Raw genomic sequence first — 21250 nt, forward strand, 5'->3', positions numbered from 1 at the left:
GTGACAGTTTAATTTCCCTATTTCCAATCAACATTTTAATTGAATGCTCACTGCTTGCTAAATATTTTGAAGTCAGCGTTCTTAAGGAATAATTATTAATGATCATTATGCTGTACAAAATCTATTAATTGAATAATAGAACAGCAGAAAAAAATTAGCTCTGAACTTGATATATTTTGGTGTCTTCATAACCTATGATGCAGAAGCTCTAAGAAATATGCATTAAAATTCCACAATTCCTTTAGATTTCTACTGACCACACTCTTTATTCATTAAATATAGGACTTGGGTTTATTTTTATCTATAATCAATTAATATTTGTATACATATACTGAACATTAGCAATTTATTTTCAAATAGTCACTTTATAAAAGTTTATTTGGAAATTTTTTTACAAGATTATTCTTCCTATATTTTGAAGTAATATGTCGTGACATTTGTGACAGTAGCCTTGAAAATGGATTTACTAACCCAATATTTTCCATAGTATATAGTTGCACTGTGGACTTTGTTCAGGTATACATAACTTCTAATTGTTTTTATTATTCTTATAATAATATGTTGTTGGTGGTTGTTACTATGGTGTGGTGTGTATGTGTGTGTTTTGTGTGTGTGTGTGCACATGCATTTACATTTCTCATAATCTGACCGAAACCTGGGCTTTTAACTTCAAAGGAAAGATGAATGCTTGCCCAATTATAGATTTTATAAGTTTCTAATTAAACAAAATTAAAATAAAGTCAGGTTAGAAGGGCCAGCTTCAGTACAGATATTATGAATCTGTGCAGAGAACATAATTACTTACCAGTAATAAAAACTGCAGAAATTCCCTCATTTCAGATTTTCAGGATATTAAATAGCTACAATTCCTCCTCTGGGTTTATCCTGAGGGAATTAGTTAACATCAAATGTAGATATAGTAGGCCAATGTTTAATGAAAAATCATTTTACATATAATATTAACTCTTTTGACATAAGAAGAAGTGATATGACTTGATAGTTGGTTAAAGTGAAACTGGGAGTTAGAAGAGCTGAGGAGTTCTAGCCCTAGTTATGCCACAGCTAAGCGTTCAAATACCTATTATGTTATTCAACCTTATAGTGCTCACAGGCTTGAGTATAAAACAGCAATTGAGGTATGCGTCTACTCCAAAACAGAACAGCAGGTAAATATGTTACTGAGAAAATTATTTAAATATTAAGTATGGTAAGAGATGATTGCACTGATAAAATGTGCATTCAGAAGATAGCAGGAATACATGGAGCACATATGGGGTCACTATTAACTATTTTTAACAATAAGTATAAGTTGTGCGATTATAAAGAGCTTTAATTTTGAGCAATACATCACTTTGAATGATTTCCATGTGCAGTATCTAAGTTTGTTGCTACATATTAGGGTCACACAAATACAGCATTGAGAGAGGGATCAAAAACTCTTCATTCTAGCTCATTCATCATATGTAGAATTTCAACTAAGATATATGAGGACTTCAATCAGATTCATAAAGCTCTTCAAATAAGGAGATGAACTATACTTTGAGTTATCCGAAGCTTATGCACAAACTCAATCAATAGATAATATTAAAAATAAACAATCACGCTGGTTTTTTCAGCAGCAACTTTTTGTGGCATTTACAGTCACCACAAGTAAAGGAAGCACTCCAATGCTCATTTGGAAGAGTCCTAAAGATTTTCCTTTTGTTGAATTGGCTTATCTTTGACAGTACCTATGAGCTCTTTTTCCTTTCTCTTCCCATAGTCCCCCATCTCAAAACTAAATTGATATTTCTGCAATTGGGAAATGTATACCAAACCCTGGACTAGCGATTTCCACACAAGTTCAAAATTATGAAAAAATTAGTTTTATTACGAAAACCTTACTCTCTCCTTGCTTTATTTTTGTTCTAATGAATGACTATCCTCTAAATTGCAGTTTTCTTTCTTTTTCCTTTGTTCCTCTGCCCAATTTCATTGCTTTCTTTACTGGATCTCGGTTTCCCTTTACTGAATCACTTTATTTCTTAATGCCCATTTGTTAAAAAAACAAAGTAATGCGATATCATTTGAAATGCCCCTGAAACCTTCAGTTGGTGATTCAGAGTCTTCGAGTTGATAAGCCAGAACTTCACTCAAATATTTCCTGTGTATACAATGATAATTATCCCCCTTAGATGAGAAGGTGGAGAAAAGATCTAGTTACCTAAAATCCCAGAGGACAATTGGAATTCACTCAATAGGACTTTATTGAAAGGTTGCAGTGTACATATTTGGAGCCAATAATGACATTTTTAATTCATAAGGGAAGGTTTCTTCATTCATCAAAACTCTGCCACTTTCTGGATGGTGACCTTGTAGAGGTTACTTAGTTACCCCAATGATCTTGCTGTATGCAACGAAGAAAATGGATTAGATCATTATTATTAACATCCTATTTACTTTTAATGTAATTTGTCTTTAAATGCTGATATTGCCTACTGGTCATTTTATTTGGATATTTCTGGGATGATTATATTCTAACATTGTAAAGCAATTATAATTAGAATAACAATATAGTAGGGTTTTAATTCTTACCAACTTCTATACACTTATCTCTCACCTCATATTGTGTCCACATAAATTACCAAGGCAGTACAGCTAGGTATACTTACAGATCCAGTTTACAGATGAGCATATTCAAGGTTAGTAGAAGTTAATGATTTCCTCAAGATCACAGATCTAAACAATAAAAAATCAACATCTGGACCTATATTTATCTATTATCAAACACCAAACTCTTTGCAAGATATGAAACTTACTCCAAAACATTCACTTTGACACTGTGTATATACATATCTGTGGAAACTTGACATGGGTTCTTTATGGTTAATTTCTGTAGCTCTACCCATGGCAAAGGGCATGAGAGTAGCAGTTAGCACCACAGCCAACTCCAGAGTCACATCTAAAAGAAAAAAAAAATGGAGATCTAGATTTGATGCAAAATGCTAAACATCACAATGACCAAAGATAAGAGCCTCATCTGGATGAGCACTTGATGCTTTATTTTTTATGAGCTTTGATTTAAAAAGTTGATAGGGAAAGGACATAGCCTTGATGAGGACTTGTGAATCCCTTTCCTACACATACAGAAACACACAGTACCATGAAAGGCACATGTTGACATGACGGGTTGTAAGTCTACAGATGTCAGACCAACAAGTATTAATTAACTAGTAGTTATGAATTCCTTGTCCTAGCACAGGACTGGCCCTGATCTGGCTCTGCTAAACCTCATCTTCACCACTCCTCCAACACAAAGTTATGAAACTCCTTCACATTCCACAAACAAGCTATGTTGTTTCAAATCTTGCATTTATTTTCATAGACTGCCTGCTTGGTCTAGAATACCCTTTTTCTTTGTTATCTTCTCTCACTCTCTCCCCGCTATACATACACACACACACACACACATGCCCAGAAATATTTTTCTCAGGCATATCAAGTGTCCCTATATATTACATTTCCATAGTATTAACAATCCTTGTCTCCTCAACTAGGATGCAAAGTTCTCTGATGGTCATATTTTATTTGAAAGTCTATATTCAATGCGTAAAACATTGGGCAAGTGAAAGGATGAGAGAATAAATGATTGGTTTCCTGCTAAGAATGCTTATTTCTAAACTAAAATTCTCTCTTGGCTCTATTGCTAGAGTATTACTTTTAAAATTTGTTTTATGTTTATTTTTGAAACAAGTACAACTCATTACTGTTTTGGAAATACCAAGAAGCGGTTAGCTATTAAAGGAAAGAACAGAAGTTCAGATCACCTGATTGGATGCGGGAGCTGAAAAATGAGCCCCTGCAGCTATAGAAGCTTTCATATTTCCATGACTTCATTGCTATGATGGTCTTATTTATGTATCACATGGCCATTTGTTCCTAACAGAGGAAGCCTCTCCATCCACTGACTTCAGTATCAAGTTGGAGCCAATTTTATTAACTTGCTTTATGGAATTTTAATGAGTGTTGCTTATAGAATCTAAAAAAAATACATAATCACATTGCTATAAAAACTATTTTATAGCCCAAGGATCAGTATAAAAAGGAGAAGTTTGGGTTATACTCAATGGGGCTTTATTAATAAATTATTGAAAAGATCTCTCTTTTTTTATTGCAAGCCTACACCATTACCCTGATAACATGATTCCATGAATCCTATGTCATCTTTTTAAGCTGTGGTCAAGAGCAGATTTAAATGTTAATAGTTTTTTTGTGTGTTATGCATTTGAAAACATTATTTTAGAACTACAGTTTCTCTTTGCTAAACTCAAGTTTGTCTATGAATCTGGAGAAATAATAATGAATAAGAAAATATAGTCCATAACCTCAAGAAACTTTGAACACTTGGTAGTTAGAAAAATAAACCTTTAGTCATGTCAGAGTGATAAATGCTATGATAAAGGTAAACACGGCATGCACTTTAAGGCACAAAATGAGCATCTCATACTGGCTGGGGCATCAAAGTATGCTCTTTGAGGAAAAACAAATTCATCTAAGATTTCAACTGTCAGATTTTGCTAGCTGGAGAAATGGGAGGGGGGCAGTTATTACTTGGTAGAAGGATAGAAGAAAAAATTAGAGTTGTAGGTAAGCATGAGAGTCTTTTATTTTTAAAGCTATGGAGATTCATTGAATGTTTTTATACAGGTAATGATTATAGTCAGATTTTTTTGCTTTAAAAAAATTACTCTGTGAAGGATAGACTGGAATAGACCAAGACTGGTGGCAAGAAAACCAGTTAAGAGATGATTACAATAACTCAAGTGACAATTAGTAAGACCTTAAATAAAGAAGGATAGATATATCTGAATCTACAAAAGTTACACAGCATTGGAAAAAAAAATAATGGCCAAGTAAATTTAAGACCTAGGCATATATGAGCTAGTAAACTCACAGAAGGTACAGATTTGTATTCTGCATAATGTATAGAATACATTTTACATTTGTAAAATGTATTCTATAGCTGTTTCGATTGTTTTTGACAAATGAGAGGGATAGATGCTAGAAAAGGTACTCAGTTCTCTGAAATGAAGTTCTTCTCTGGGAATACCAAACGACCATATTCTCAGTGCAGTATATTTCATATTTGCATGACATTGTATAGCACATGCTGTCTCTATCCATCATCCTGATGCATCTTCTAGTCTGTAAATTATGCTGGTTTTTGTCAGCAGAGTGAGAACTAGTCATTAAGGAATGTGTAATTAAACCTCAACATCCCAGTTCTCATTCCCCCTCTGACAGGGGGATAAACCAGGGATCATTACTGCTATCAGGGGCTGCTCAGTGGAAAGAGAAACAAGGGGAAGTTGGGTGTGCTACGCTGATGTGCTATCATTGGTAATTGATTTGCTGGCGTAAATTCCATGTCTCTACATTTCTAATTGCTTTTGTGCATATTCTTGGGGGTTGATTAATGCCATCTGTTCACAGGATCAGCTGAATTGATAGAGTTTTAAAGGATGACAACAGTAATGTTGAAGATAGAAAGAAAGTGAAGGGAAATGCCAAAACACTGCTTGTGAGTTATATTATTTTTAACTATCCACCTTTAGAAGCAGAAATATCCTTCTAAAGGCAATCCAAAGCAAATAGCAGTCTAAAGAAATGTGCCAAACAGACTGATGTTATGTAGGTATTAGTCTAGGCCACTATTTACTGAATAGGTGGGTTCAGTTGTATCTCTGTTTTCCCCTCCCTCCCTTCTTCTCACACTTTCTTCTTCTCTTCCCCATTCCTTTTCTTCTATCTTGTGACCATGTGGTTTGTGTATTACCATTGACTTTTCCCTGAGGAGATGATTCTCTTTCAGATGTACGATAAAAGGGTAAGAAGTCTTTGAGATTCCAGTGCTGCCTTGCTAAACAACATGGGCATAGTCATCAAAAGTGAAACTTCCAGACAAGACCTGTTACTGATGCAGGCCAGACATGGGCCTGGTGCCACAGGGAACCTGGGAAGGCCCCTTGATTGCAATGCTCCATCCAACTCTGTCCCCAAACAACCCTTCTGCTAACTCCATTAATCTCCTGAATCTGTAAATATGGGTAGAGTTGTGTGGGGAAGGGAGCCTTCCAATTCATATAGATAAGCTTTAAGACACAGAACCCCACTGAGTATAGGAAAGCAAATCTATACTGTACTTGACAGAGAAACAGACCTTTTCCAGAAAAAAAAAAAAGTGTGTGAAAGAGATAGTACTGGGTATCTGGAAAAGGGAGGATAATGTTTTGAATCTGGAAGGAGAAAGAACAGGGATGTTCTAGGTGTGCAAAACAAGTGTTGCTGCTTTCCTATTTTTGCCCAGGCTGAAACCCTCCCTCATATTACATGGCCAAAAGTACAGTAGATGGCCAATGGGGAGATGAAAAAGGACAGTGAGAAGGGCATATGTCACACAGTTTGGGATTGATTTAATTCTCATTCTGTGAATATGTTCTGTGTATACTAACATGCACCTTGCAAAGTCTGTAAGTATGAGTGGCTCTGCATAAAATACATATAATGTGGACATCCAATCATTATACCTGTTATAATTATTAATGAAACTCAGCATGGATTTTCTCATAATAACTAATAATACAGTGTAGGGCAAGGACAGCTACATTTCCATTTTCAAACAAAGTCTGGCCCACTTCCCCTTCATCTGGGTAATCGGATGGGTGAGTCACTGCTAAGACAAATACAAATTTGTTCTCATTTTATCTCCCATGTAAACAGACAATGAGTAGAGTCTACCTTCACCTGGCAGAGAAATATCACCGTTCTGGATCCCTCACTTAGTTCCTGGGTTGGGTCATAGCATAATCACTGCTTCTAGGCCTTGGCCAGTGAAACTGCTAGCTGAGAAACTCACAAAAGGAGCCCCATAAGAGTGGGGGAAACAAGCTTCATCTAGAGAAGTGAGGAGCACAGCCCCTCCAAAAAACTGAAGAGGGCAATGGAGAAGATGTCAGCATTATGGCAGAAAGATCCTTAAACAGACCTTAGGTAAACCCATGATCCTGGGAAGGAGTGTGTGTGACAATGTTCTCAGCTCCCTAAGACCACCATTTGCAGGAGATTCAGGCAGATGGACCTAGAATTGGAAAGTTGAGAGAGCCACATTACCCTCCTGTGTACTACTGAAGTCTGTTTCTGGTGAATAAATGGCATTAAGTATTCCTATTTTCCTGTTGATTTTGGGTTAAAAATCAGGTACTGCATCATGATGAGTTATTAAGACATGTTATCCACAAGTCCTCCCTCCCCTCCCCTCCCCTCCCCTCCCTCCCTTCCTTCCTTCCTTCTTCAGATATTTATGAAATGCCTAGTGCCCATCCATTTATCTGTACACTTCTGAAATATTTTTGTTCATGACAAAACACTTGATAAGAAGAAAGATTAGAATTGCCATCCACATAGCTCCAGAGAAAACCAAAACAAAAGGTAACTGTACCATCTCAAAGGAAGGTCATAGCACTGTGACTCACCCTTCCATCATTCCTTTACTCTTGCTCCATGTATGAAGTATCTCTTATTTTTTAAGTCTTTTCCCCCTGCTCCTTTATTTTCAATATTCTTCCCCAAGTTGCTGATCTGCTTTCTTTCTAATCCTCTTTTCTTCCTTCTCTTTCCTCTCGTCTCTCTTCCCCATGTTCTTCTACTCCTTTCCTTTCTATCTTCTTCCTCTCCATCTCTTCCTTCTACCTCCCTTCCCTCACTCTTCCTGTTGCAATTAACTTTTACTAAATGTCTTGTTTTTATGTTTTATGGCATAAGTTAATGCTTTTCAAACTTTCCACTGAAGTGCTGCTCACCGGGAAATAGAGTGCACGGGAACCCAGGGGATTCTATGAGCTCAGCTTCAAATGGCCACTGAAGCATGTAATTTCTTAAATTTTATCTTCAACACTCAGGCAAATTTGCATTCAGCTCCATATTATATCCATGTTTATACTATAATAAAATATTTTCCCCAAATCCCCAATTAAAATTGATGACCCAAGTTTATTAGCTTAACCCATAGCAGAGGGCTGCATAATCCCAGGGGCAAAGGCTTCAGTTTTTTGGCTCTTTCTCCACATTTATGTTTTCCAGTATTCCTGTGTCACAGAGTCCTACTTCGTGGTCTCTCTCCTCATCTCAGAACAACAGGTTGCTGCATTTCCCAGGATGAACTCTTTTTTTTTTTTTTTTTTTTTTTTTGAGACGGAGTCTCGCTCTGTCGCCCAGGCCGGACTGCGGACTGCAGTGGCGCAATCTCGGCTCACTGCAAGCTCCGCTTCCCGGGTTCACGCCATTCTCCTGCCTCAGCCTCCCGAGTAGCTGGGACTACAGGCGCCCGCCACCGCGCCCGGCTAATTTTTTGTATTTTTAGTAGAGACGGGGTTTCACCTTGTTAGCCAGGATGGTCTCGATCTCCTGACCTCATGATCCACCCGCCTCGGCCTCCCAAAGTGCTGGGATTACAGGCGTGAGCCACCGCGCCCGGCCTCCCAGGATGAACTCTTAATCTGTGAACCGCATATTATCATTAATCAATAATGGGGAGTAAGAAGGACTTATTAATTCACAAGGGAAAAGGAAACCCACAGACTGGCTTAGTGAACAGAAACTGTTCACTAAGTTTTGGATGAGCTGTGGGTTACAAGAAACCCCAGTCCCACCCCAAGTCTTCAGATACTGCTCGCCCCTGTTACGGTCACCTGGGACTATGCTGCCACATCCATGAGTTGTACCTTTGAGTGAATGTGCTCTGTCAGTTGACAGTAATGGGGTCAACCAGGGCAGATGCTTTCTGATAGGCTGAAACCACCAGGATATTAAAAGATTAATGCCTCTGATTCTGCAACAATCAGGAACCCTTTGACACAATCCAAAGAAATGAAACCAAGCAGATTGGAATGCTGGAACACTGGAGATTAGAGATAAAGTTAAGTAATGTGCTTCTTTCTCGGCAGGGTTTCAAACCTACACTCTGTGCCAAGGTTGGTACTTGGTAAGATTTTACTCTATTTGTTACCAACAGTCCTAAGAGACAGTTGTTCTTTTCCCCATTCTAGGCTGAGGATATACTGGCTTGGATGGTGTGGTAATTTACCCAAGATTATATAGCTATAGGTGGTCACACTGGGATTTTAACCCACTTTTCCTTGGCTCCAAAACTCATACTTTGAAAAATTTTATCTGCTGTTTCAGTGAACTCAACACAAAGACTTAGCTATTGTTAAACTCCAGCAGATAATTCGTCCTAGCAAAGACAGTCTTTCCCTATAATCCAGGGTGAGAAAACCCTCATGTGTCTAGACCCACAGATTCTGCCCCAATCTTCAGGCCATCTTATTCCAGTCTTGCAGAAGGCTCCTTCCCCATATCTAGAAGTCACTATGTCAACCAGTTCCTGTAGGTTAGCTGTTTATAAAAGTTGCTTGTATTGCTCACTAAAGCTTTTCACCAACTTTTTGTGGCCAGGCTTCATGCTTTCACTGATGGCCTTGTGGATTCCATGATCACTGCCCACTATTAGTGTCTGTTCCTGAGACTCCTCCTGTCACTAAGTGCAGTATTTTTATCACTACATAATATTTCACCCCTAAAGAATACTGCAGCCCTAGAATTTGTTTCATGGATTTTATCTTTAAATTCTGCTCTCCCATGTTCATTGCAGCATTATCTACAATAGTCAAGTCATGAAACTAACCTAAGTGTTCATTAGCAGATTAATGGATAAAAAGTGCACAGTATAAAAACACAACAGAATCTAGTCAACCTTGAAAAAGAAGGAAATTCTGTCATTTGTGACAACATAGATTAACCTGGAGGACATTATGTCAAGTGAAACAAGCCAGTCACAGAAAGACAAATGCTACACAAACTCACTTATATGTGGAATCTAAAAAATTCAAATTCCTAGAAGCAGGAGGTAGGATGGTTGTTGCCAGGAGCTGTAGGTGTGGGGAGGGATGGGAGATGTTGGTCAAAGGGTACAAAGTTTCACTTAGAAAGGCGGAATAAGTTCTAGAGATCTTTTGTACAGCAAGGTGACTATACTTAACAATAATGTATTATATACTTGAGAATTGCTGAGAGTAAGATTTAAATATTTTTACCATTTCACACTGTATACATATATCAAAACATTATGTTGTACTCCACAAATACATACAATTTATATAGACCAATTAAATAAACAATAAAATTTTGTACTAATTAGAAAAACCTTATTCCTGACACTAAGATAATAGTTTCAAACAAGGTAATTATTGGATGCATTCAGATCTGTTCTTTGTCTTCACGCTGCAAGATTCATCCCCAAATCCAGACTGTAAGCTCTTTTTACCCAATAGGGATAGACAGAAGGTTAGGTTTGACAAGTGTATACCCAATTCCATTATTTTTCACCACTGATTATCACTGACTAGTGCTCAGTGATGGGACCCTGTCCGACTGGCTTCGGAGGATCCCGTTGGTAGGCAAGGACCAGTGCTTGTACATACCTGCTTTCATTGTCAGCTGTATAGAAAACCACAGTAGTAAATGCTTTGTTTTATTCTCAAGTTCTCATGAGTTTGAGAACTTAGGCCTGCTGCTTGGCTTGGTTGTGAGGCCTGTCTTTGGGTCTCCTGTATCTTCTATTTCAGCTATTGTCTTGACTCAGAGGACCTGCTTGCTTGGGTTTAGAGAGGCAAAATAATTTGTTCAATGTCCAGTGCCTTACAGTCTTGCCTCTCTTCTGCATCAACAACGGGAGCTATCAAAAAAGGACACAGAGTATTCTGAGGCTTTTCACACTGAGGCAATTAATCAATGTAGTGTTCTAGCTCTCAAAAATAATTAGCCTTTCAAGGAATGAAGCCTTAAATATTTAAATTTTGTTTTAAAAGCAGAACTTTTGGTTTACTAAATGAAATCTTACATATGATTTTAATATGTAAAATAAATTACAAGAGCGGCTTTGAAGAAAATAGAATGAAGGGCCTAGAATCCTACCATCCAGCCTGCCCTTCTTCTGATTCTTCATGTAGGTACCGTGTGAAGACTTCTGCCTTATTCTTAATTGCAGGAATCTCTAAGCCTACAATTTCACGCAAAAGCAACTAGGTACAAGAACATTTGAGGAAGAGTGGGGATGGAATCCCACCTCAGTCATGGTCCATGCCTGGCTGGTGCACAGCAGCAGAGCCACACTGGGTGTGCCCCACCTGCCTCTGCTTGTATTGGTCCGGGAGCTGATGTCCAGGCTGGGAAATACTTCAAATATGATCTCTGCCCTAAGTTACACTAAATAAGCAGACGCTTTATTCTAAACCATTGTAAATCTGATATATCTTGCTACCATTCATATGAGTGTCAGGGCAAGACAATCTTATTGGAATTTACTGATTTGAAAAGATGGTAGCTTGTCAAATACTTGTGTCCTTATCTTGATATCCTTAGTTTGTGGTTAATAGCTGTTTGTATTTTAAATAACTGTTTTGTGAAAGCGCTTGCATTATCTACCTGCATTCCAGGCATTCCCTTGGGACCTCCTCCAAAAAAGGAATCTCATGTTAGCTGTGATTAAATTGCCCATATATAGCACAGTAAATGGCAAAATAACTACTTAATAAATTGAATTGAAGCACAACAGGTTAGGTGAAACCCAAGCATAGACAGAAAGCCTGGATGAGGGATAATACGGGGCAAACCCCTGAGTGTTGGCTTATAGTGCAGTGCTCCCTCCACCGCTTCAAGCCTCTGTCTCCCAACATCTGTGAAATAAATGGACCTTTGGGCTCCATCAGCGAGGCTATCTCAGTGCTCCCTGATGTTAAGTAATGTGAGTAGAAGTGATGAAAGTATACAAATTAAATAAAATTGTCACACACCTGGATTCAGTCTTCATTTCTGATTCTGGTCAGAATATTAATTTTAAACACATCCTTGAGTGTTTACTTCGGGTGCCATTCATCACAAAATCCTTTTATTTAGGTCTACACTGCGCTCTCTCCTCCCCCCAGTGAATCCCAAATGTCCCTGCTTTGTATGGGTAATAAAATTTAATATGAGCAATAATTAAATATAGGATGGTATATTTAATGGATTACTCAAAATAATTTACTAATATTAAATAGTATGCACACATATATATGCATGCTCAGATTTTTAATGATTTATTTTTAGTTTTTTTTCATGGTTAGTGCACCTGGTGGAATTGTACATGTGCATATCCGCTATGTAAACCACTTGTTCTGGTAACTGTCAAGATTTATTATCCCCCAAGGTCAATATTGACTTAGGTGTCACCTTTGTGAATATTTACCTCTCTAGATGATGAATTGAAATGGTCATTTGGATGGAAATTAATATCTACTTATTTTCTGAAATCAAATGCTGTTGGGAGGTGTGCAGACATGCTCCACCGTGTCTGCTTGTTTCAGGGTGGCGTTCAATAATCATTCTTTGCATTCTGATTTACTGTGGTTATTTTTATACCTCTTTCACATGGTTCTTTTGCCTAACAGATAGACTGTGAACTTCAAATGTATTCGGCTTGACATTTCAATACCACAATCAGGAGATCGTGATATTTGATCATATGGATAGTAAGTACACATTGGATTAGTGAGCACCTTGGCCTTGGAGTTTATTTAGGGCAAGATACTGTTACCTGAAAAACACAAAGCTCCTTCAACAATTATCTAATTATATAAAGAATACAGGAAGAGACATAAAATTACACAGTAGTTCCTTTGGTTTTGAGGTATTGATTCGTCGTTTTCAGATAACCTTACAGTATGCCATGTGTTTTGTAAATATAATGTGTTTGTACATATATATATGTATGTTCATACAAATATAATATGTTCAATTCTGTGTGCCTGTGTGTGCCTGTGTGCCTCTGTATGCCTCTGTGTGTGTGTGTGTGTGTGTGTGTGTGTGTGTGTAACAGTGCTTACTTCTTTACTGGCAGAAGACAGAGACATCTTTGGTAGAGAGCTTTTAATATATCAAACCACAAATTCTAAAATTGTGAGACTACAATAGAAATATTTCCTGTTGTTCTTATTATAACTGTTGCATTAATTTTGCGTACTGGGTCACAATATATATACTGAGAAATGTTCAACCTTAAAATAAGGCATTTAAATACAAGTATAATGGTGACAGTTGCTGTATTTTGTTGTATATGAGTGGAATTCATCTATGCTTTTCTATACAAATATTCATAGGCAGTGCATTCTTGGTTTTGTCCTTTACAAACAAGGAGTATTAGTTTGTCATCCCCACAAATCTTTCCTAGCCATGAATGGTCTGAGAAAAGACCTGGACTTAGGCAAACATATCATAATTAAGCACAGACTGTGGCTTAGTAGTCAAGGGAATCAACCACTGTAAAAATTCATTAGTAAAGTTAATCCAAAAAACATCTGAGCAACTGAAACAAAATCAATCCTAGGGGAGAATGCATAACTCTATTGATGTTCTCACCCTTGTTGATACATTGTTTAGAGTAAAGATTTCTATGTCTTCTGCATAAATATCAATTTTTGTTGGCAAATTCAATTTGACTTATTGGGTTCCTATAGCTAAGTGTTTTGTGGTTCATCAGGAAATGATGTCATTTTGTGTATGAGGAAATAAAAATACCTCACTTGATGGCCAATGAAAGTCTCATTTTACACACCATCCACTGCTTTTATGTGCTGGGAAGGTTTGAGTCCTAGAAGAAGCCAAAGACATTGGGTGGTTTCTTCATGCATTATTTGCATGTGTATAGGCACACATCCTACACATAGCAAACATATACACTTACTGTCAATTAGTTTAGTTTGTGCTTCTTTTTTTAAAAAGGAATTAACGTGGAGTCAGATTAGTGGTTTTCAATCAGATGTAACTTTGCCCCAGGGGACATATGGTAGGGTCTGGAGACATTTTTGGTTGTCACAGCTTGGGGGTTTCTATTGGCATATAGTGAATAGAGATCAGAGATATTGGAAAGGAACATTCTACAACACACATTGTATTATATGTTGTCTTTTGTCTCCCACAACAGATAATTATGTAGCTCAAAATGTGAAGATAATCAAGGGTTGAGAGACTAGTTTAGATCTATTAGTGATTTATGCATCATGATGTGTCAAATTACATATATATATATATATAATTTGAGACAGAGTCTCACTCTGTTGCCCAGGCTGGAGTGCAGTGGGGCCATCTCACCTCACTGCAACCACCATCTCCTGGGTTCAAGTGATTCTTCTGCCTCAGCCTCCGAATAGCTGGGATTACAGGTGTGAGACACCATGCCCAACTAATTTCTGTATTTTCAGTAGAGAAGGGTTTTCACCATGTTGGCCAGGCTGGTCTTACACTCCTGACATTAGGTGACCCACCTGCCTCGGCCCCGCAAAGTGCTGGGATTACCGGCATGAGCCACCATGCCCAGCCAATTAAAAATTTTTAAAAGAGGTTTTCTTCCAGCATTTAGACTTATAGAGAGATATATAAAATAGAAGAGAAATATGATGACATATACTTTCATCCTGGTTCTGCTTACTGGCTATATAAATTCCTTTTCATTATTTCACACCTTTTCCCAAAAAAGGTGATGATACCCTCCCCAACTATTTTCTATTGTGAATAACATGAGATAAAGAATATTTTTAAGAAGGTGTAACCATGATTTTGCTGAAATCATATTTATTATACTTTTCATTATTTGGAGGAGTAATGGCCTGGCTGTACTGTCCTCATAGGCTTTAGACAGACAAGGATAACATGGAGGACATGGGCACAGTGCAAAGAGGGACTGAGGGTACATATCCTGGACTTGGGGTACGTATCCTGGACTAGGAACTGCAAAGGTAAATTTTATACCAGTTTTAGGTTTTCAAAGCATTTTTAAGGTTGGTTTAAATTTCTACCTCTGTTTAAAAATTATCTGGTCAGGACATCTTTTGGCAGGGTGCATGTGCTATAATGCAATCACTGAAGTCTGTTTATAGTAAAGCACATTCTGTCAAATTTTTTCTTTTTGTAGACCCCCTCTTGCATAAGCGTAACTCTCTATCATCTATCTATCTATCTATCTATCTATCTATCTATCTATCTATCTATCATCTATGTTTGAAAAATGGGATAAAAACTAAAGGTGCCGAAGTTGCCTATGCTTTGGAGGTGACGTAACTACGTGACTCAGGAAAGGCCATGAACCAATCTATTTAGATGACACTCTCTACCTTATTTAGAGCTCAAAGATCAGTTAGATAATAATCCTGGCTTTGATTGCTTATCTTCTCCAGTCCAATATTCAATTTTTAACATCAATTACATTAGAAATAGTCTTTAATTTGTCTTTTCAATGGAAAGAAGATGGATGGCCTTGGTCTCTACTGGATGTCTGCCTTTTGAAAAAGGAAAGTGATAAAATCAGAAGTAAGAGACTGCTGGGTTGGGAAAAGGACCTTGGAAGTGATGTAGTCCAGCCTACCCTGCATAATGTATATAGATCACCACATTCCCTAAAACATTCCAGATAGTTGACTATTCTATTTTACTTAACCTCCTAAGTGAAGAGGTGGGACCTCACAAGACAGCTCAGTTCCTCAACAAAAATTATAGTTGGTAGGACATTCTTTCTTCCACTGTACATAAGTCTGCTTCAAGTACCACCAAACCACTCTCCTTAGCTCTACTCACTGGACATCTCAAACCAAGCCTTCTTTGTCTTCATCATAATTATTCCACAAATACCTAACGATAGCCACCACACTTCTCTCAATCTTTTCAATCTTTTTATATCTTCTTTTACTTAATTTTTTCTATGACATGATTCCTTTCCCTTGGACTTCCCATCATCATGTTCTCCTATTTGTAGTGTATTCCATTTTGCCAATGTTTTCTTTAAAATATGATGTCTGGAATAGAATGCAATCCTGATTTGTGCTTACCAACCTGTGTGGGCTACAATGTGATGGTCATAAGGAATCCTGGGTGGGAGAGAAGATTCAGTGAAGTTTACAACAACATAAACCTCAAAGTCTAAAATGAAAGTACCAAAAAATTGTGTTGTGGAAAGGACATTGTCTCTACTTTCTCTCACTCACTCTTTCACTTACTTGGCCCTCAACTAATGTAAATCAGTCTCTTTACTTTTTTCAGGGATAACTGGTACAATTTTGGGTTTCTCCCAAATTAAGTGAACTTTGAACTCACATCTTACCTTTATCTGCCCAGATCTTCCCCATGGGCCAGTTCTTGTCCTCTCTTCTCTAGTCTTAATTAGTATGACTGTCCTCTAAATCCTTAATGCTTGTACAGTATACATTACATCTTTAAGCCCTGTATTATATGCTGTCTTTTATTGGCTTCCACTTCTATTTTCATTCAGAGTACATTGAACTGCAATCAATGAGAAGAATTACATTTAATATAGCCTCTGTCTATAGCAATAGGAGTACTGCTTACGGTGTGCCAGATCTTATCATTGACATACATTACTACTAATCTGGCTCATGACCCTATATGGTTAATACCATTATTCTTACTTTTTAGATGAATAAATTTATGTTTAGAGTGTCCAAGTAACTTTCTTAACTTTATACAATTATTAAATAGTTTGCCTGAAATCCAGCCCTGGTCTCTGAACCCAAAGTACTGTGTCCTTTACGCTGGAGAAAAGATTTCACAACCCAGGTAGGATGTGAGCTCCTAGCAGTTTGTCAATATATCATTCTAATTAATTGGGGGAAATTGTATTCATTTTACAAATATTTTTAGAACACCAATTCTAAACCAGGAACTGGTCTTAGATATTGGTAAAGAAAGACATTCAATTTCTGAATATAAACCATGGCTATTTTTTTTCAAACTGTGGACTACAGAGAGTCCCACAGGTCTTGGGTTCCACCTTCCCACGGCCACCCTTATGGAGGTGATGATTTATATTGGCTCTTTTCTGATAGTTCCCCAGTGTGCTTTTTCTCTTGCTTAAATATTTCATAAAGCCATATGGTTGCTTATATCTCCTCAACTGTCATGATGGTGGATGCTGTGAAATGATCTTGGCATGTTTGAGGACACATATCCTTCAGGTTGACCTTATCTCAGAAACTAAACTTCTTAATTGTAGCTGTAATCCCAACCCCGCCACAGACGGAAGCAATGGTAGTGAGGAAACACACACACACACACACACACACACACACACACACACACACATGAATAAGTGAGGCCCATCTTCCTGGAATGTCAATTTCATCCAAAGAGTAAGAAATACACATTATGTGTATATCTTAAAAAATACAAATATGTTCTGGAGTAGAATACAAAATTTCAGGAAACTTTCAAATAAAACATGAGATTTCAAATATGTCTCTGGCTCCAAAATGTGTTCACAGAAACTTGATATCAATGAATTCACTGTTTTCCCACTTCAAGATGCCTCAGGGAAAAAGCAAACAAGCAAGCTTAATAACAAATACCCCTGATTCAATTTCTGTGGGTCTAGGTAAGTCTTCCACATTGGCCTTCATTTGAAAATAAATGTCTTTCGCCAAACTTTGATTTTCTTTTCTTTTCCTTTTTTTTTTTTTTTTAAATTTTGAGATGGAATCTAGCTCTGTCACACAGGCTGGAGAGCAATGGTGCAATCTCGTTCACTGTAAACTCCACCTCCCAGGTTCAAGTGATTCTCCTGCCTCAGCCTCCCAAGTAGCTGGGATTACAGGTGCCCACCACCAGGCCTGGCAAATTTTTATATTTTTAGTAGAGATGGGGACTCACCATGTTGGTCAGGCTGGTCTTGAACTCCTGACCTCAAAGATCCACCCGACTTGGCCTCCCAAAGTGCCACCGCACCAGGCCTGGTTTTCTTTAAGCCAGAGTTACTAGATAGTGTTACAACACAGAATGATGTTATAGTTGTATGTAATGTCTTATCTCTTAACACCCTCCGATTTTAAAAATGCACTGTGTAGACAATAATAATATTAATAACCTTCTTTTTATTCTAATGACAGTTTTTAGACAATCTCTATTACTGGCTTTATGTGTTGGGGAAGAAGGTAGAATGAAGTAATATTGACAGAAAGGCCATTCCTCCACTTCCCCCTTGGCAGGCCTCTCACAGAGAGTCTTGCTATGGGTGCCACATTAGGACCCTTAAAAATTCACATTCTTTGTTTAAGAGGTGTTGTGAATCCCCTGAAATTGTGCACTCATCACTGTGTGTATATCTGCATATTTGCATTTTTCTTGGATAAAGGTATTTATATTTCACCCAATTTCCAAAACGCATCCATGACCCAGAAAAGATGAAGAAAGAAAGGCTCTGAGATCCTCATTACCCTGAACATCCTCAGGGAGGGGAGGAGGGGACAGCTTTATTCTAGATGCTGGAAATTTAACCTAAATGTGCCTGAGTGGTGTGCCCTTTTCTAGCACCTGACGGAGTGAGTGTGAGCTCTGGGGTGCTGAAGAGAGTGGGAAAGAGCCCCCCAAAAGGGAAAAAGTCTTCTAGAAGATAAAAGACAATGACAGAAAAGGAAAACTTCAGAGATGTCACAATTTGCCAGTGGCAAAGTAGGCACATTGCAAACAATCTGGAATTAATAGGAATGAACATTTTTAATACAAAGAATACAGATTTTGAAGAAATTACTCAGAGCCTTTCCCTTTGTCCTTTCCTCCACCTCCCCTGAGATCTGCTCACAAAAGAGAGAAAAAAAAAAAAAAAACAGAGAATAACAGGTTAATATCTAGAATTTGCAAGGCTCTGAATAGCCACCTGACAACAGCCGCCTCCTGCTGAGAAACCACTGAAGCTTAATCATTTTCCTTTGCATCAGAAAGAAGGTGGCTGAAGTATTCATTTTTTCCTTGAAATGTCAGGTGCCCACAGCAATTAACTAATCATGTTCCTACCAGGTCAAGTTGCAAGAAAAGAAGACGATTGGGTTTTTAATGCTAAGGGGACATTTTAGACATTTTCGTACAAGAAAAGAAGACAATTGGGTTTTTAATGCCAAGGGGACATTTTAGACATAGGGATTAAAAAATGGTTTCATAATGACAAAAGCTCCACTGACATGCCTCAACATCCCCTGAGTGATACCATGCCTTGTACAGAGGAAGTGAAGAAAGGCTGAGGCTGGACTGGGAAAGGAGATGTAGCCTTGGGCACACATTTTTTTCTTGAGTGAAAACATGGCCTTGAATGGCCATTAAGGTCTCCAATTGTAAGAAATTTCTTTGATACAGAAATCTGAGAAATTCCTAGAACAGCTTTGAGAGAGCGGCTTGTTCAAATGATCCATCTTAAGTATCAATCACAGCCTAAGAATCGAGTGTTTACTAGATAACAGCAAAAATAAGACCAAGACAAGTGATGAGGATGGCCTAACATTTATCCAACACTTACTACAGACTAGAAACAATACCGAGCTATTTACATCTATTAGTGCCTTAATCTTCATAATAACCCCACATGGTAAAATATGCTGAATGTTTACAGGTAAGGAAATAGAGGCACCGAAGGGTAGTCACATAGCTGGAAAGTGAAATGTCCACTCAGGGAGACTGCCTCTAGGACTTACAGTCTTCAAGTCAGAAGGTCAGTGTTTAGATCCTTATTTTACAGAGGAGAAAGTGAAACTGGGACAGGTGAAGTATCTTACCCAAGGCTTATCACTGGTACACAGAGAGCTTGGACGGATCTGGCCAAAGCCAAGTTCTGTCCGACTTCACATACATTTTCCCATTCAACATCACTTCACATGACCTGCATATTGTGTATAATCATATTGGAATTCATCCCTAGGAGAGATACTGGATTCTAACACTGGTGCCTAAACCCAATCAAGTAGTAAGGCTGCAGCCCAACTGAACCTCATTAATTCTGTTGCTCTGGAAGCACTCCACGCCTCCTGCGATGACCTCCATGTTATCTAGGTTTTCTCTGTGTCCCTGGTGCATGAAAAAGTGCAGTCAGTGACTCAGCTGTAAATGGTTCAAGGTACAGACTCCTTACTCAGCCCTCCTCTCTTTTTTCAGCTCTATCGTTCCTTGCACTCCATGGTATTTATTGAGTGTCTGTTGTGTGTAGACAGTGTTCAATAGTGGTAAAGAGCTAGTACCTGCCTTCATGCCACTTAGACCCAGGATCAGGGAAGCCCAGAGCATTGTTTCTGGTGCTCTCAGTGTCTTTATACTGCTCCTCTAGCACAAGCATGCACATGTGCATACACACACTCAGGCACATGCACACGCACACACACAGGACTTCTTTGCTTAGCTCCGTCATAAACATTTCCAAGCTACACTGAAACATTCATTTCTTTATTTTATTTAGCACGATTTCTCTGTGTCTCTAACACATTCTGCCTGTTTTACTAGTATTCTTGTCATATGCATATCTTTAATCTTCCCCAAATAAATTGCTCCTTGAAGCTAGAGACACTTGCTACCCATCTATGTTGTTCTGTTTAAACTGGCAGCATGGTGTCATGGGGGAATGCTTTCCAGAATCAAACAGAACTGGAGTTAACCAGCTCTACTCTAGGAATGTCAGCTTGAGTAACCTCTTAACTATCCTATTTCCTGTCAGTAAAATGTGAGTTCTTTTCTTCCTCGTATATTTTGAGCACATTCTTGACAGTTAATACTGATATGCCATTTAATGGTTGCTCTTTCCTTTGCGTCTCCATTTAGTAAGTGTCCATGAAAGAGTTTTATTGGTTTCTCCCAAGATATTACCTGATAACATTTTGTTTGTTTCTAATTTCTGTTTAGAGATTTGTTAACTTGGTTGGAGTGGTCCATTGGACATTTGAGGGCTCTCTATACACTTTCTTAAATTGTTTGCCAAATTGTTTTTGTGCCCTGTTGCATTCATCATACTTTCAAAGGAATACAAATTCAAAAATGAAAAGATTAATGAGTATCTTTTTTGTTGGTAAATATGCTTTCTTTTTAGGCAGTCTTTTATTCCCCCTTTAACCTGATTCACCTAGATGGAAGTATTGACAGTGTGCATGCTCAGACAGGGAGCTAGTGATAAACGGGGTCATCCAAGGTTATTTGAGTCCCCAAGAATGCTAACCATTTTGGATGTCCTCATAAGTATACAGCAGAAATTGGACACAGTGTCCTTGAAGAATATCACTAAGGCAAATATTTACACACATTTATTTTTATGAGTGTTATGCAATACGTTAGGTTACATCAAATGCAAGTTTGTTTTTCTTTC

General features: G+C 37.9%; 1 protein-coding gene across 3 annotated transcripts in view, besides 2 other annotated features; it reads left to right on the top strand.

Moving 5' to 3' along the window:
- Window positions 1-21250, top strand: part of CNTNAP5 (contactin associated protein family member 5) — an 895933-nt gene that overhangs the window by 2423 nt on the left and 872260 nt on the right. The window lies entirely within an intron of this gene.
- Window positions 18046-18789: an enhancer, noted in NCBI's record as "OCT4-NANOG hESC enhancer chr2:124803332-124804075 (GRCh37/hg19 assembly coordinates)". NCBI's record gives its function as "activates a minimal SCP1, AML or CMV promoter by ChIP-STARR-seq in primed H9 embryonic stem cells {active_cell/tissue: H9 hESC(primed)}" and the evidence as "EXISTENCE:reporter gene assay evidence [ECO:0000049][PMID:30033119]".
- Window positions 18790-19532: an enhancer, noted in NCBI's record as "OCT4-NANOG hESC enhancer chr2:124804076-124804818 (GRCh37/hg19 assembly coordinates)". NCBI's record gives its function as "activates a minimal SCP1, AML or CMV promoter by ChIP-STARR-seq in primed H9 embryonic stem cells {active_cell/tissue: H9 hESC(primed)}" and the evidence as "EXISTENCE:reporter gene assay evidence [ECO:0000049][PMID:30033119]".

This window comes from Homo sapiens, chromosome 2 (assembly GCF_000001405.40).
Source record: "Homo sapiens chromosome 2, GRCh38.p14 Primary Assembly".
NCBI classification, from domain to species: domain Eukaryota; kingdom Metazoa; phylum Chordata; class Mammalia; order Primates; family Hominidae; genus Homo; species Homo sapiens.